The sequence below is a fragment of the Homo sapiens genome, chromosome 10 (assembly GCF_000001405.40).
Source record: "Homo sapiens chromosome 10, GRCh38.p14 Primary Assembly".
NCBI lineage: Eukaryota > Metazoa > Chordata > Mammalia > Primates > Hominidae > Homo > Homo sapiens.
Genome location: NC_000010.11, coordinates 11,243,342 through 11,258,304, shown reverse-complemented (window position 1 = coordinate 11,258,304; position 14,963 = coordinate 11,243,342). Strand labels below are relative to the sequence as shown.

At 46.6% G+C, this 14,963-nt stretch overlaps 1 protein-coding gene across 70 annotated transcripts in view, besides 3 other annotated features; it reads right to left on the bottom strand.

The window, feature by feature from the left end:
- The window catches only part of CELF2 (CUGBP Elav-like family member 2), an 874,126-nt gene that overhangs the window by 78,371 nt on the left and 780,792 nt on the right, over positions 1–14,963 (bottom strand). For 69 of the 70 annotated variants that reach the window (XM_047424494.1, NM_001326323.2, NM_001326320.2 and 66 more), the window contains 2 exon segments: positions 9,104–9,152; positions 433–567 (listed from right to left, as the gene is read on the bottom strand). In XM_047424494.1, the coding sequence (XP_047280450.1) occupies positions 433–567; positions 9,104–9,152 (184 nt within the window). 70 annotated transcript variants of the gene reach the window in all.
- Positions 10,770–10,879: an enhancer, noted in NCBI's record as "active region_3006". NCBI's record gives its function as "activates an Ori minimal core promoter by ATAC-STARR-seq in GM12878 lymphoblastoid cells {active_cell/tissue: GM12878}" and the evidence as "EXISTENCE:reporter gene assay evidence [ECO:0000049][PMID:35858748]".
- Positions 11,150–11,469: an enhancer, noted in NCBI's record as "active region_3005". NCBI's record gives its function as "activates an Ori minimal core promoter by ATAC-STARR-seq in GM12878 lymphoblastoid cells {active_cell/tissue: GM12878}" and the evidence as "EXISTENCE:reporter gene assay evidence [ECO:0000049][PMID:35858748]".
- Positions 13,256–13,465: an enhancer, noted in NCBI's record as "active region_3004". NCBI's record gives its function as "activates an Ori minimal core promoter by ATAC-STARR-seq in GM12878 lymphoblastoid cells {active_cell/tissue: GM12878}" and the evidence as "EXISTENCE:reporter gene assay evidence [ECO:0000049][PMID:35858748]".

Below are 14,963 nucleotides of genomic sequence, written 5' to 3'. Positions count from 1 at the left end.
TTTTCCCAGTTTGTGTCACTGTACTCTTAACATACTCTTAACATTTCTTTCAGGCACAGGCAGGAAGCCCGAGGACTAAGATGAAAACAACAAATATCCTTTCTCATTTTCTACTTCTCCTTCTTGCACCTCCCCCCACCAAATCCATTTCAATATGAGATTGAAAAGGATGCCTAGCAGTAGGGCAGCCTGTTGGCTTCACACCTGACAGTGATAACTTGAGCTAATATGGTGGCACCAAGGCCTTCTGAACTGGAGAAATAAAAGGTGATGATTTCAGCTATGGTGAAAAGTTCAGGTTGGATAACTTTATCACATGGGATGTATTACAGGGTGACCTCTTGCCGTGTGCGGTGCCTACATCTGTCTCGACTGTGACACAGAGCTCCAATTAGCACTGAAGGGGAGAGGCTTTCCAGACAGCACACTCACCTCGACTCAGCCCATCAGGTCCCCGGAGGATCCGGCATTCTTCTATCTGGCCAAATGGAGAGAACATCACCCTGATGTCGTTCTCATTACATTTCTTCGATACCATTCCTATGAACAATTTTCTGTCTTCCACAGCTAGGAGATAAAAATAACGAATGAGCAAAGGCCATTTCATCTTTTTTTCTTGTAATCAATGCTTCATTACCCCATCAAACCAGGCCCCAGCCATGTGAGACCAAGCACGTGTCCCAAGGCCAACTCTGCAGACGTCCAGCTGTCCTCCTCCCTCCATGCGCCCCACCCTGCCACTCCCTCCCACCTGGTGCTTCCTGAACCCATCTCCCCGTGTGCTTGTGCTTACTAATAAAATGTTTTAATATGACATGTAATGCTGTTAAGTTCTTTTCTCCTATTCAGAAACTAACAGTAATGCGCTGACTAAAATTCCAAAGTACTTGTATAACTGTTCAACACTACCATTCTCTGGGGATATTTTTGGATACAGATTTTATTCTGTTTTTTTTTTTTTTTTTTTTGTAGATGGTCTTTTAACCTGAATGACAGGGACAGAGAAAGGTCAGGAGAGGAAAGACGATGGGGGCAGATGGAGCGAAACAGCGAATGAAACTTTTCACAGAGTATTCGAGGGAAGAAAACATTTTTCTGTTTCAAATAGCTTCATCCCTGCTGATCTAGACAAGAATAAGAGATCAGAGAGATTCTTACGTCTCTGGGGAGCTAGGAAAGTACCTCTTTCCCGTGACACTGGTGATGCAGTGCTAACCAGGTCCCGCACCTGGTTCTAAGCAGCCAGGTTAGTTACCGCTCAACAGGAAGCCGATTCTAGAGAGGAGAACAGGGCGGCTGCTGCTGGAGAAACACCCTGGATGGCCCCGAGCTTCCAGCCCTTCACAAATGATCAAGAAGGAAACAATACTGTACTAGCCACCGGGAGGCAAGATTCTCGGGGAATAAAAGTGCATTTGGGGATCATGAGGACGACACGCAAATTCTAACCTGGGCACCTGACATTGGGGAAGATAAGACACGTTGTACTTCACAGGGCCCGGGAGATTTTCCTCAAAATCTCCATGCTTGTGCTCGGGAAATGTGAACTACTTTCGGCCCGAAAGACGAGGTTAAAACTGATCTCAGGACAGCGTTTGGAGTCCTTTTTAGGAGAGGTGCCTTTTTTTTTTTTTTTTTTAAGGACATCACAGACACCCACGGGGAGAAGTCCTGCTTCTTTTCCATCGTTTCATTTCAATCTATTTCTTAGAATTAAAAAAAAAAAAAAAAGAAGCTAGCCAGCTGCAGCCAGACTGAAGAGTGTCCTGGGCTAGAGGAGGACTCTGCTTTAAGTCACTTGTGCATACCTATTTCTTTTGAATCTGCACTATCATCTTGTCATTCCTATTTAATTGGCTTTTATTTCTGTTTCTTTTATGCCTACCCCGGACAGGAAGTGTCTCATTTTCATTTAGCGAATAGGCAATTATCCCAGACTTACTGGGGCCAGTTCCTTCTGGACGCTAAAGCACACCTCTGTGCTGAGAAGGGGCTGGGGCAGGTGTACTGGTAACAGGTGGGTTCCTCTACCACAGTGCTGTTGACACAGAAACTAAAGCCACATGTGGCTGCTGAGCACTTAAAGGGACTGGTGTGATTGAGGAAGTGCTTTTCTAAAATGTAATTTTAATTAAAGAGCCACACATGATTGCTCCATGAGCCAGCACGGCCCTGAAGGGCCTAGAGGAGACAGCTAAAGGCTCCTCTTCATAGCATCCCAGAGTGGAAGGAAGAGACCTAAGGGAGCTTCTGTCTGTCTCCAAAAGATTTCCCAAGGTCCAGCGGGGGAGGGACCTGCCTAGGGTCATCCAGCCTGGCCCACAGCCTGGAGTCCTCCTCCCAGCCAAGGATTCCTTCCCCTGCTGTGTCTCCTCCAAGTTCAGAGGAGGAGAGAAGGCTTGAAGGGGAGAGCAATGGCGGTGATTAGAAGACCAAGGTTCTAGGTCCGGTGCTGCCATGAGTTTGATATGTGTCTTTGGAGAATAGGCTGACCTCTGAGGACCTCTGTTTTGTCATCCATGGAATGAAAGTTTAGACTCTTTTCTCTCCTAGAAATGGAGAGAAGGTGGCCTGTGACATACTCGGGGTGACTGGGGCTCTTGAGGCAGGGACGGTGAGTGGGGGGTCAGAATCCCTTCCACCCAGCTCTCTCCCCACTGTGACAGCTCCTGGGACACCGCAGAAACTCTAGGGCTCCAAGGAATACAAGTTGAAAGGCACGATTCCACAATACTTGTAAACTACGAATCGTGCACCCAGGTGTTTGAGAAAGGCTCGCTGGGGGATGTGGAATTGAAGCTGGACGAAGGGTCTGGAGAGACTGGAGGTGGGAGAGCAAAGAGGTCCTAACCAGGCAAGGTGCACAGTGCGGGGCAGTAGGGACCTGGCTTGGGTGGATGGCGGAAAGCAGCCCGACCTCAGGATGGCACGCCCCATCTTCCGCTTCATGTGCAGAGAAGGAGCTCAGTGAGGAAAGCATCAGCTGGCCTGAGCCACTGCTTGTGTTCAGACTCGGAGGAGACATGGGCAACAGGCACCCCGGGCTCCAATTCCTGGGAGGGAGACTGCTGAGGACCTGACCTCCTGTACGCTGACGGAAAACTTCTAATTCAAGTTCTTTTTCCTCCCTTCAGAGAAGGCAAAGTAGCATGGATCCGCTGTGAACTGGTGAAGCCTGGTCAGTCATGGGCAGCACAGGCGCGACAGCTAAGCCAGAGAGACACCAGATACCCTGGGCAACGAGTGTACCTGCAGGCCGTCCACACCACCTGCTGCAGGCCGTCTACACCGCCTGTGCTCACTAACATGGGAGGATTCTGGTGGGGGAGGCCCTGTGAGAAAGTGGCATTCCCGTGAACGGGAAGGGGAGAAAAGGAATAGGAAGGGGAGAGATGGGACAGGAAGGGGAGAGATGGGATGGAAAGGGGGTAGAAAAGGGAGAAAAATCAGCAGGACTCCTCCTTCCCTCTCGTCTCCGAGACTCCTACCCCCAGCAAACTATGGCTGGCATTTTTATGAGAGTAAAAATAAAATTCCTGTTGTGTTTCTTCTTACCCTGAACAATCTGGTTTTAGTTCTTTTAAACAAAAGCAAATGAAAAATTCCCACCAAGTCCTTGGTTTCACTGCTAAACCTATAATTATGGTATTTAGCTAAAACAATTTGCAGGTTTTGAGCTTCAGGGAGATGCCATAGTAAATTAACCATGCAGCTCCTGGGTAAGCTTAAAAATGATTTTTTTCCTAAGACGAACATGAAGAAAATGGAAACTACTCATGAAGAAATGCTGACTTCCTAGCCATCACTCAAGGTCAACTCAGCCAGGCAACAAGAAGAAAGATAACTCGCACTTTTAAAAATATCAAGTATTAGCCAAGAAAAAAAATGGAAACCTCCATCATCCACGTTATCAAAATGTTAACTTCCATCTGTGTGTGTGGCGTGTGAGCGCACCTGTGCGTGTGCACAGAAGTGCTGGGCTTTGGGAATCTCTTACTAGCCAAAGTTGCTCCGTGGTTTCAACAGTTGGGCTGTGTTTGCTTTAAAGGCAATATGGGGAATACTGAACACACCCGGCTTTCTTCTGAGTTTTTTTGGTTTTCCAGTGACAAGTTAGTCATACAATTCATCCCCCAAATTCCCATTCTGAGGGTCCCTAACAGCTTTGTAAACATTCTACAAGAACACAGTTATTTTGAGTTCACTTAACTTTTTTATCAACTTTTGATGACCGTCTTGGTGAGTTTTTCCTGAGTATTCACGGGCACTAAGTATCTCACTTATTTTTTCAACCTACAGGAAAGTCAGTTTAAATGAAACGCACTGTGTTCACAGTATTCTGCTAGGTGCTTTAAGGAATTAAAAAACCAAAACCAAAACAAAACAAAACAAAAAAACACTTGAAGGGTAAAAGTCATTTTCCATGACGGACACTGAATAAGGGCAGGGAAATGCTTTTACACATGAAGTGCTGCACAGATGGGGTCCCCCGTGATTAGTAACGACGACCACAGAATCAAAAGGGGTTCCACACCAGCAGCCATTTGAAGTCTACCTTCCATGATATGATGAGAATGGGTTAATACTTTAAATACACGGGGTGACTTTTTTAAGTTAGGGGAATAGAAACTTCATTTAAAAAAAAAATCTCTAATTGTAAGTCTGCGCTAACACCCGCGTGTACAATCTGTCAAAGTCACACCTGGATTTGGGGCTGCCTGAATTAATTAACAACTTTTCAATGTGTTAGTGCTAACATATGGCATTTAATTACTGCCTCCAAATCTGTAAGTCTCTCCACTTTGAATTTCAAAATTATTTCTTCATCTTCCCGTGAATCAGAAAGTGACTGGATGGAGCCACCCCATGATTCCTATTTTTAATGGAGGCTTTGCAGGTCTGCACCCTCTGCTGATGATATTTAGTTATCTTGACTGCTGCTAGCTCTGAACTTGACACCTGGACACTGGAGGTTTTGGAGGCCTTGAGAGAGACACACACAGCAGGCTTAAGTGACATTTCTGGGTTCTAGGCGTTAAAGACCCCCAGCAAATTGTGAGGTTGGAGGGTTAAAGCAGGATGGATGGATTTACGCTCTGTATATAGAGTAAAAACAACAAGCAACTTCCCTTGCGGCAAGAGGCAAAGACATCAGAGTGAGCACAGCTCCAGCCTCTGAGACCAGACCCAGAACCGAAGCAGCTTCTGTTTGTATCACTCACTGCCAGCCTAACTTCAGCAACTGCTTGTGACTTTCAGTACTGCACAGCTGGTACCTCGTTGGGCACAGCAATAGAGGATTAAAAGCTGGATGGCATAGAGGATGAAAGAGGGTTAAGTATGTTTCTGCTCGTTTATGATGGAGGATGAAATCCACACCTCCTCAAAAGCCCTGCCTGTCCCGCCATTTGTCTTTCTGCAATGGAAAAATAACAAAAAAGGCGGATTCTGTTGGAAGGTGGGTGGTTTACTCAGTGTGCTCCTCTTAGCAGCCCCAGCAGTTTTTGCTTCTCCAGAGTGGGATTATTTTCCTTTTGGACAACCTGGCTCTGTGGGAGCACGTGGATGGAAAACACGATGCCGCGAGCTTCCATCGGTGTGCCAGAGGCTGCAGCTTAAATCAGAGCCAATGGAAAGGGCAGGTTACAGGAAGCCATGGAGACTCGGGAAGTCTGCTCAGTGACATCCCAAAGTGCAGGGCTGATCTGAGCGCAACCTAACGTTTCGGGGCTCACCCCAGAGGTTCCCTCTCTCAGAATCGCTCGATGGACGAAAGCTGCCAAGGGTGACTGCTTTTCTGGAGTTCACCTGTCCATCATGAATTAATCCATGATTAGCAGCTCTTTCTGGCTCAGCACATACAAAGTTTTAGAAATCTGAACACAGTGATAATGAAGACAGTAACTGTCTAACTGTGATGAGTCCTTTGTGCTATCCATAAATGTCAGCAAACTCAATAAAAGTGCAATTAGAGCTCGTTATACTTCTTTCAAAACTACAGGAGCTATTTAGAGCAACTGAGCCAAAGAAATCTTTGTGCTCTTTGAGCTTTTGAAACTATGCTTACCTGTCAAAAATGCCATGTGAAATTAGAAAAGGCTTGTGGCTTTTATCACTCGCTTTAGAAAACTACATATTCCTCCTGATTCCTCCATCAGGTCCAAAGAGAACCTCGAAGCTGTTCATGTCTGTGCAAGGTGAGGTTCCATTTGGGCCTCTGGAAAGAAAAGCCATTTAAAAGCAGCCTTCCGCTCATTTATATTTTTGGACTTTTCTTACTGAAAATTCAGAAAATGAAGGTCAATCCGCAAAGCAAAAGGAGCACTGGCCCAACTAGAAGACTTGGGGGTTTTGATTTGTACATACAGAGCTATGCTTCGGTATAAACAGCCCAGGCCTGGACAGGCCGGCCTCTGCTGCTCAGAGTGCACTGAAAAGGCTGCCTCGGTGAGTGGAATAACAGTGTTAACTTAGCAGAACTTAGCACACTGGATACTTGCTACGTGCCGGGTATTATGCTGAGCTCTTTATAGACGTTAACTTATGTAAACCTCAAATAACCTTGTAAGACGGGCATTACAACAAGTGTTCAGATGACACCACTGTAGCCCCCTCTCACAGCTGAAGAGACACTGATGCTGAGTAAGGTTAAATAACTTGCCCAAGGACAAAACCAACAAGCGTGGAGTCGGGTCAAATCCAGGCTTCTCCAAATAGTTCATAACTGCTACCCCAGGCTGCTGCTTGAAAAACAGCATTTTCAGGTAACCGTCTTATCCTAGAAATAACGGTGCCCGGTCCTCCTTGGCTTCTGTGATCATGCAACATTGGGTGTGCCCATGACAGTTTTATTATGTGCTGTGATTCTAGACCCAAAGCAAATGTGATTCTCAGGGACCACAGTGGACACTGGACAGAAAGAACAACAAAACACTCTGCAAACTCCTGGCAGCTGCCTGTAGAAAGGGTTCTCTGAGGCAAATGAATACCTGCACAGCAGAAAATGCAAAAAAAAAAAAAAAAAAAAAAAAAAATCCCTTTGTGTTTCAGTACTGGGATATTTCAGGTCAAATGTTTTCAATTTGGCTAATTTGTCATGTTTCTATATCTACAACCAAAGGTTCAGAAGTGAGACAAACCCTTTTCCATAGACTTTCACTTCATGGTCCTTGTCCTGAATACTCTAAATACAGTTTAGAGTATCATGGAGCCAAAGGCAGGGAACATTTCTTGGTGGCCACACACTCTGAGATGACTTGTACCAACAGGATTCATCCCAAAATACAAGAGTCATCTCTCGTGTCTCCCACCAAGGAAGTCATCAGACTGCAAGCACGCACCTCTGGAGCACAAGGGCTGAAAGGAGCCCGCCTGGGTGAAGTGGTCTTCTTCCCAGGCCAGCACGCTCCATGGAGAGCCTGCAGAGGCCAGGAGACCACCTCTGGGTGCAAACAGTAATCAACATTTCATAGAGGCATTCTATCATTACAGAGACTGTTACAAACACCTTATTTGAGTCTTGGGCTCAGGGGAAGGCAACTTAGGTGAGACAGTTACCATCAATTCCATTTTACAACTGCAGAAATCCAAGTTCAATGTTTAAGTGACTTCTGGATACTTAAATCAGTAGACTGAATGTCAGTTCTACAAGGTCAGAGACACAGTCTCTTGGGGTCTTTTCTTCTTCCTTTTTCTATTCAGTGCTGCAGCCCCAGCTCCTAGCAACATGCGTGGCACACGGTAACTGATGAACAACTGCTGACTACAGGAGTGGCGTGGCTCACTCACAGGGCCACAGAGCAGCAGCGGATTTGACAACTTCTGGTGCTAAGTGTCATGTTTGTGATAAAGCAGTAGAGAAAAAAACGAATTAACCCTAAGTAAAGTGCAGGGCTGAGGAGAAGACAGTGGTTAAAGCACCAAAGTCTCCTCCTAGAGAGAGAAAAGCTATTTTTTTATTTTCTTTATTTATATATCTATGTTGCCCAGGCTGGCCTTGAACTCCTGGGCTCAAGGGATCCTCCTGCCTTGGCCTCCTGAGCAGCTTCAACTACAGGTATGGGCCGCTGCCTTCTGCTGAAAGCTGAGAGAAGAAAGCTCTGACAAGTCGGGTGCTGGCAGCACCATGCTATGACTTGGAATTTTCTTCAAAACTTTCTATTCTGTGGAGAAGCCAGAAAATGGAATGCACTACAATTAGCAAAAAATACCTTGTGGAGAGATTTAGAGCCCAATCATAATTTACATTTGCAGATACGTAGATCTCTAAGTGCATGGCTTCTGCCCTGATTACTAATTAATGAGGTGCAAAACTGCCTGCTGGAAGGAAACAGTACTGATTATGTCAGTCTTATGGGACAGAGCAGCTCTCCAGTCTAGGATGGTAGAAGATTCTTTTAACATACATTTCAGTAAATTAAAAGTACAAAAAAGGGACAGAAGGTTCGCTGAAAGGGAACAAAAACTTAAAAGAGGGAAATGTGGCTATCAACTCTCTCATGTCTCGAATAGGCAAAACCCAATTGTTTATGGACCTCATCAAATGCAGATTTTTGCACCAAGTGTACGCTTATTTAATCAGCAGACTGAACTCTGAATTCTGATGCAAATGCATTGGAGCAATTTAGAGAAGAGTACAATAAGGTAGTCTCCAAGTCCAAAAGAAACACATGCAAAAGGTAAAAAAACAAAAACCAACGCCCCTCCCCCACCCACAGAAAGCCTAATTCTTCATGGGCAATTCCTTTCCTGCAGACGTCCTCTGGATCCCCATGAGATGTCCCTGTATTGCTTTGTTGGAGGAGACAGGAACCAAATGCCACAGGGTCCCTATACAGGGCAAGTCCCAAAGAGAAGGACACAGAAAGCCACTGCTTGTAACAGCCTCATACATCTTTACGCCAGAGATCATCAACAGGACAGGAGAGAGGAGAGTGGCGAGTGCATTACTCCAGACACACAGGCCACAGAGAAGATTCCAGGAGCAGCGCTCTCTGTCCTCTAGAGAGAAAAGCAGCTGGGCCGGCTTCTCCCGCCCCCAACTGACTTTGTAATTTAAAGCAGCAGATATTATTATTAAGCAAGACAGTTGGTTACCACCTACCGTTGGACTTTTCACTATCTGCAGGTTTCATCTGAATGGGATGATGCATCTAAAAACACAAAAGGGAGAAAGTAAAGGCAGATTGAACAACTGTAAAAATCATCTCAGAAATCTGCAGCAATTCGATTACTGATACTGTTTTAAGGGCACATAAGTGACAACAAGACTTCTCCAGGTACTATTAACTATGTTAAAAAGTAAGCCTGTATTTTCTGTTCGGGAATCAAACCCTTTGAAGTCACGGGGCCCTGTAACACAGAACATATTTAAAAGCTTGGGCTCTGCAGTCAGACTTCAGTGTGAAACCTGGTTCTGCCACTCGATATGATTTCTGCCTCTATGTTACAGGCAATTCTGCTCCTGCCATTTATTACAGCCATGCAATCTCGAGCAAGTGTCTCAACTTCTCTGAGCTTTGGTCTCCTCATCTGTGAGATGGAGGTAACACCTGAATTGTAAGGCTGTCAGAATTAAACGAGAAAATGCATGTAAAGTGCTTCATAAGTAGAGGCTAAGATGCGTTGAAAATAACTTAGCTATTGTTATTGTATCATTATAAAAATTATTATAAAATTAAATCATGCAGACTTTTCTGGCCATCCTATGTTTGTCACATAGGTTTTTCTTAGGCCTCATGAGTAATTTGAAGGTCTAGCAGTTGACTGACTTTGGTATCAGTATATAATTTTTATTAAATGCTAATACAAATACAGAATACGAACAAAGAGCCACTGAAGAATGGAAGGAAGGATGGAAGGAAGGATGGAGAGGAGGAGGGTGGAAGGGAGGGAGACACCTTCTGATCATGTCCAGTACATGACAGGAGTAGAAAGGACTAGACACAGCGGGGCCGAGGTCCTGAGCTACAGTGGACCCGGGGGACCCATGGCTCTTCCTAAAGTGCCCATCACACCCGGTGCCTGGTCCGCAGAGCATGCTCCAAGCACACAATGCTGCCACCATTACCAATTAGAATCAATTCCTCAAACCACCTCCAAAGGTCCTCCTGCTTCACATTTCATTGCACCCTGAGGAACACAGGAGCCACGGGGTGGAAGGAATCACTGGCTGCGCAAATGCTTTCATTATAATGGGTCCCATTCTCTCGGCACCTTTCATTTCCCCAGTGGACTTCCATCACTTGCAAGCCACAGCTCTGGGTTTTATCTAATTTCAATGAAAGGGAAATGGCACTTGGCTCTGATACTTTCATCATGGGAAATTATCATCAGGCAGTCAGGATCACGTGCACCTAATGCCGGCCTGGGTCTTCAGAACAGAGGAGGAGGGAGAAGAAAGAGGCTAAGTGAGCTGCCTCTTCAAAAGCAGGACAAGTCACCTGTGGAAAGCCATGAGTTGGGCTGAGGAATGTGACCTCTATCCTATAGAAATGGAGAGAAGGACCAGCAACATGCCTGGGGGAGATGGGCAGAGTCTTTGAGCAAGCGATCCTCCCAGCATGCATCTGTCTGGTTGTCCAGCAGGTATGGAGCAAACAGGTACCCTATGTCAGTCTCTAGGCCAAAAACTGGGAACAAAGGCCAGTGAAGAAGGTCCTCCCTTCAGGTGCTCAGTGTGGCAGGGGTGGGATGGCGGGCATGGGATGGCGGGCATAGGATGGAGGGGGTGGGATGGCAGGGGCAGGAGAGACACTGAGCCCTCAGCCGGTAAGCACCCTGGCAAGCATGTGGGGAGAGGCAGGACAGAGCCCACAGGGGTCCAGGGGTGTGGGACTTAATCCTGCCTGGCGAGGAAAGCCAAGGCTGCATCTGGGCCGAGTCCTTGGACGTGCGAGCACTGAAGGGGGGCCGGCATGTGAAACTCACGGGGCAGCCCCGCAGTGACCCAGGAAGTGGAAGGGTGACAGTTCCCTCTCACAGGGAGCTCCCAGTGTGAGCATGGAGGACCACGGGAAGGGGCGGTGAAGGTGGGCAACACCCAGCTCTCAGAGGGTCTTGCAAGCTAAGGAACTGAAATTTTGTCTGAAAGTATGTGGTCAGGTACAGAAGAAGTAACAAAGGAAACAAGATCGAAATTCTAGAAAAGCCATTTTGGCTGCCGTGTGGAGGGTGGATTACAGACGAGAGACACAGGCAGGGAGGACAGTTAAGAGGCTGCTGCCGCAGGCCAGGGAACACTGGTGGAGGCTGAACTTCATGGCGACTGGCTGGTTGTGGGGATGGTGGAGAAGGGGAACTCCAGGTCTGTACAACCAGGTGACTGTGGGATGACTGCCCGAATGGGGAAAGCATGAGCAAAGAGTTTCAGAGGCGGCTGACGAGCGCAGGTCTGGACATGCTAAGGTTGATGTGACTGTGGGGTACAGACAGAAGTTGTAATCATGGGGCTCAGGCTCGAGAGACGGGCCAGGGCCACAGAGAATGTTCCTTAGCGTGACAGTGAAGCCACAGGTATGCGCGAAGCTGTCAGCGAGGGAAAGAAGGGTGCAAAGAGCTGAGAGCCGAGGACAGAACTGCAGAGAATACCAGGAAAGAGGAGTCCAAGGAGAGCAGAGTGAGGGGCAGGAGGAGCTGCAGGAGCAACTGGTCCCATGGGAGCCATGAGAGGAGAGGAGTTTCCAGAATGAGGGAGAATCAGGCCACAGCAAACACTGTGAGAGGCCAAAGAATTTGGATCTGGCAATAAAAAATTCTTCACGGGATTTATCAGAAGTAGGTTCTGTGGAGGGGCAGTGAACAACTGGTCATGGGAAGTAGAGGGGAAAGGAGGAGGGTAACAGTAGATAGGGTGAATGAGGGCTTCTTCTATTTTGAGGTCACCTGCAAAGGGAGTTCAACAGGAAGCTCAGTGGAGGATGGGGGCCACCCATCTGTCCTTTCAAGACAGGAAAGACTTATACAGGTTCATCTGCTGAAAAGAGTCCACTGAGATTCACAGGTTCAAGATATGGGAGAGATGAGGTGAGCGCACCTACATTATGCCTGGGACACAAAAATGAAATGAACATGGCTCCTGCCCACAGGGAGTGTGCAGTCTATCATGGCGGTCGATACGCATCCACATAAAAAACAGGGACAAACAGAAGAGCACAAATAGAGCACTGTGAGCATTCAGATGCATCTGTGAAATGCGTGGATGATGGCAGGTGGAAATTCGGGAGCAGCAAAAACAGAGCCCCTATACTCTAAAGCTGTAAAGGACCCTGGAAATCACGCAGTCAGTGCTCTCGGCTGACAGGTATGAAGGGAATAAGTGACTGCATAGACACAGGTGATTAACGACAGAGCTGGGATCACACAACTCTAATATCTCCACTCTTAATCTGGTGATGCCTCCCCTAAACCACACTGCTTCTCCATAAAATGTCCAATGTGGGACTTGGCCATATGAGCCTTCGGTTAAGAACGGCATGCTTCACTCACTGAAGAGGGCAGACACACACTCGTCTAAAGGCACCTGCAATATCCCTAGGGGAAAGTAATCTTCCCTTCCCCCCAACTCCTGTAGGACCTGATCTCTATAGCTGTATGACTCATATGACACCAAGACTGCACCCTTAGCATTCGTGCAGCTGCTCAGAGAATTGGCTTGTGCTGCCGTAAGACTCTTCAGAAGGCTCTGCGAAGCAGCAGTGATGGTGATAACTCAGCTACTGCCACTGCACACCTGAACTTTGTTTTGCTCTTTCCTGGGCTCAGCAGGGGAAAAATCAACTTCGCAGAGCCGTGGATTGTCAGACCATGGTGAATTCTGAATAGATGGTCACCCCACTTCAGGTATGTTCTGAAGACAAGCTAGATAATGTATGCAAAGCACTGTGACCTTCTTAGAGAAAGGTGTTCAATCAGGACTGTATTAATAATGGCTCATTACCATGAACAGTTCATTTGAGTTACAGATTTCTGATCACATACAAGATGTAAATGTCAAGGAAGACAAAAAAATGGGTGGGAGGAGTCATTGTCATAATACTGTTTCACTTCCTCAAAATCTTCCGACTCCCAGAACTTTGGGAGATTTCTTGAGAAGTTATTATAAAAGAGTAGACATTCTAGTTCAAAGTTTTAAAGTATAAGGATGGAAAAAGAATTCTTTCCCTGTAACAGAAATGGTTTCAATGATTTGACCCAGTATGACTGCTCGTTTATTCACGTGTTTCTGTTTTTACCAGACACTATATGTTAGATGCTGGGAAGAGGAGGATGAGAAGGGGTTCTCATTGTGATGGAGCTTGCAGTGTGGTAGGAGAGACAGATACAGCAAGCATTTCCCACAGCGTGATAAGAGACGTGGTAAGAGCTGTACGGTGCGAACTCAGAGAAGAGACACCAGACACAGATGGAGGAAGGACACGCTGGGGAAGGCGTCTCAGATGAAGCTATGTCTGCATTCATTCTCAAAGCAATCCTCATGTTAACCGGAAGATGTGGAAAGGACATTTCAGGGAAAAGAACAATTTATTTGGAGGCACAGAATAAGAGAAAATAGGCCCTACTGTTGATCAAGAACAATGATACGATATCCTAACCAACAGAGGAAGCAACGGAAGTTGTTGTTGTTTTTATGCTGTTTTTTTTTTTTTGAGACGGAGTCTTGCTCTGTCACCTAGGCTGGATGGAGTGCAGTGGCATGATCTCGGCTCACTGAAAGCTCTGCCTCCCGGGTTCATGCCATTCTCCTGCCTCAGCCTCCTGAGTAGCTGGGACTACAGGCGCCCGCCACCACGCCCAACTAATTTTCTTTGTATTTTTAGCAGAGACAGGGTTTCACCATGTTAGCCACGATGGTCTCGATCTCCTGACCTTGGGATCCACCCACCTCGGCCTCCCAAAGTGCTGGGATTATAGGCGTGAGCCACCACGCCCGGCCAATGGAAGTTGTTAAAAAGAACATTCACCGAAAACAAGACACCTAAAGCACAAGACTAACAGTGAGGGATATGTTCATAGGCTGGACAATTTCAAGTAAAAAGAAACAATGCCCATCTACTCACTCCTGAATGAAATCTTCCCTAGGTGCCAGGACAGGCGGCAGCCAGTGGCCACACCCTGAGCACCCTTCTCAAGAGCTAATGATGAAATGAGTGGGGTCAGAACTGTTGCTTCTCAACTGCTTCCCCATGACTAGGGACCCTGGCCCTCCCTGCTGCCAGAGCTAGATGGGGCTGGAGGCAGGATCTCATGCTGTGCCCTGCACATGCCTGCAGGTCCCAGTAGACAGCAGGAGACGGGGGAGGGCCCAGGTGATGTGGTGGTCGCTAATTCAATCTACCTACTGTGTGGCTAGGGTCAGGGCTGAGGCTAGTTCCCAGGGGCCACCTCCTTCCTCTGTCTATGACAAGGGAGTACACGATCTTCCAGAATTTTTGCAAGGAGTCTCTGAAGAGACGTGTGCTAATTAAACTGAGGCTGCATCTCCAGCCACACAGAATGGGAAGTTTTAATTCAGGAGTGAGTATTTTTCAGACACAGTATGGGCTGTATCTAAAAAAATCTTCAGTGGTCTGTGCTGTCATGATCTGTCTATGCTGTTCGACGAGTCTAAGAATTTTACAAACACCAGCCTCTGACTTTACAGAGTGGTTTTCCTGAGTCACGATGAAACAATTAATGAGTCTATTACTTATGTTCATCTCAGCTGCACTTGCAGCAAGCCTGGAAGACGACAGGAGATCTCTGGTCCTCTCACGCAAGGCCGCAGCATGCTTGTGGGGAAATGGCAGGAGCATGAGTTTTGGAAATAGATCCTGTTGATGGGAGTAAACGGGATGTCACACATTTCTTCAAGTTCACATTGCTATCAAGAAAGGCTTCTAAACCCATTCATGTGAAGATTTCCTTGATGGTACATGAATTTTTAGAAGCTTTTTTTTTTTTTTTTTGAATAACATTTTGCCTAA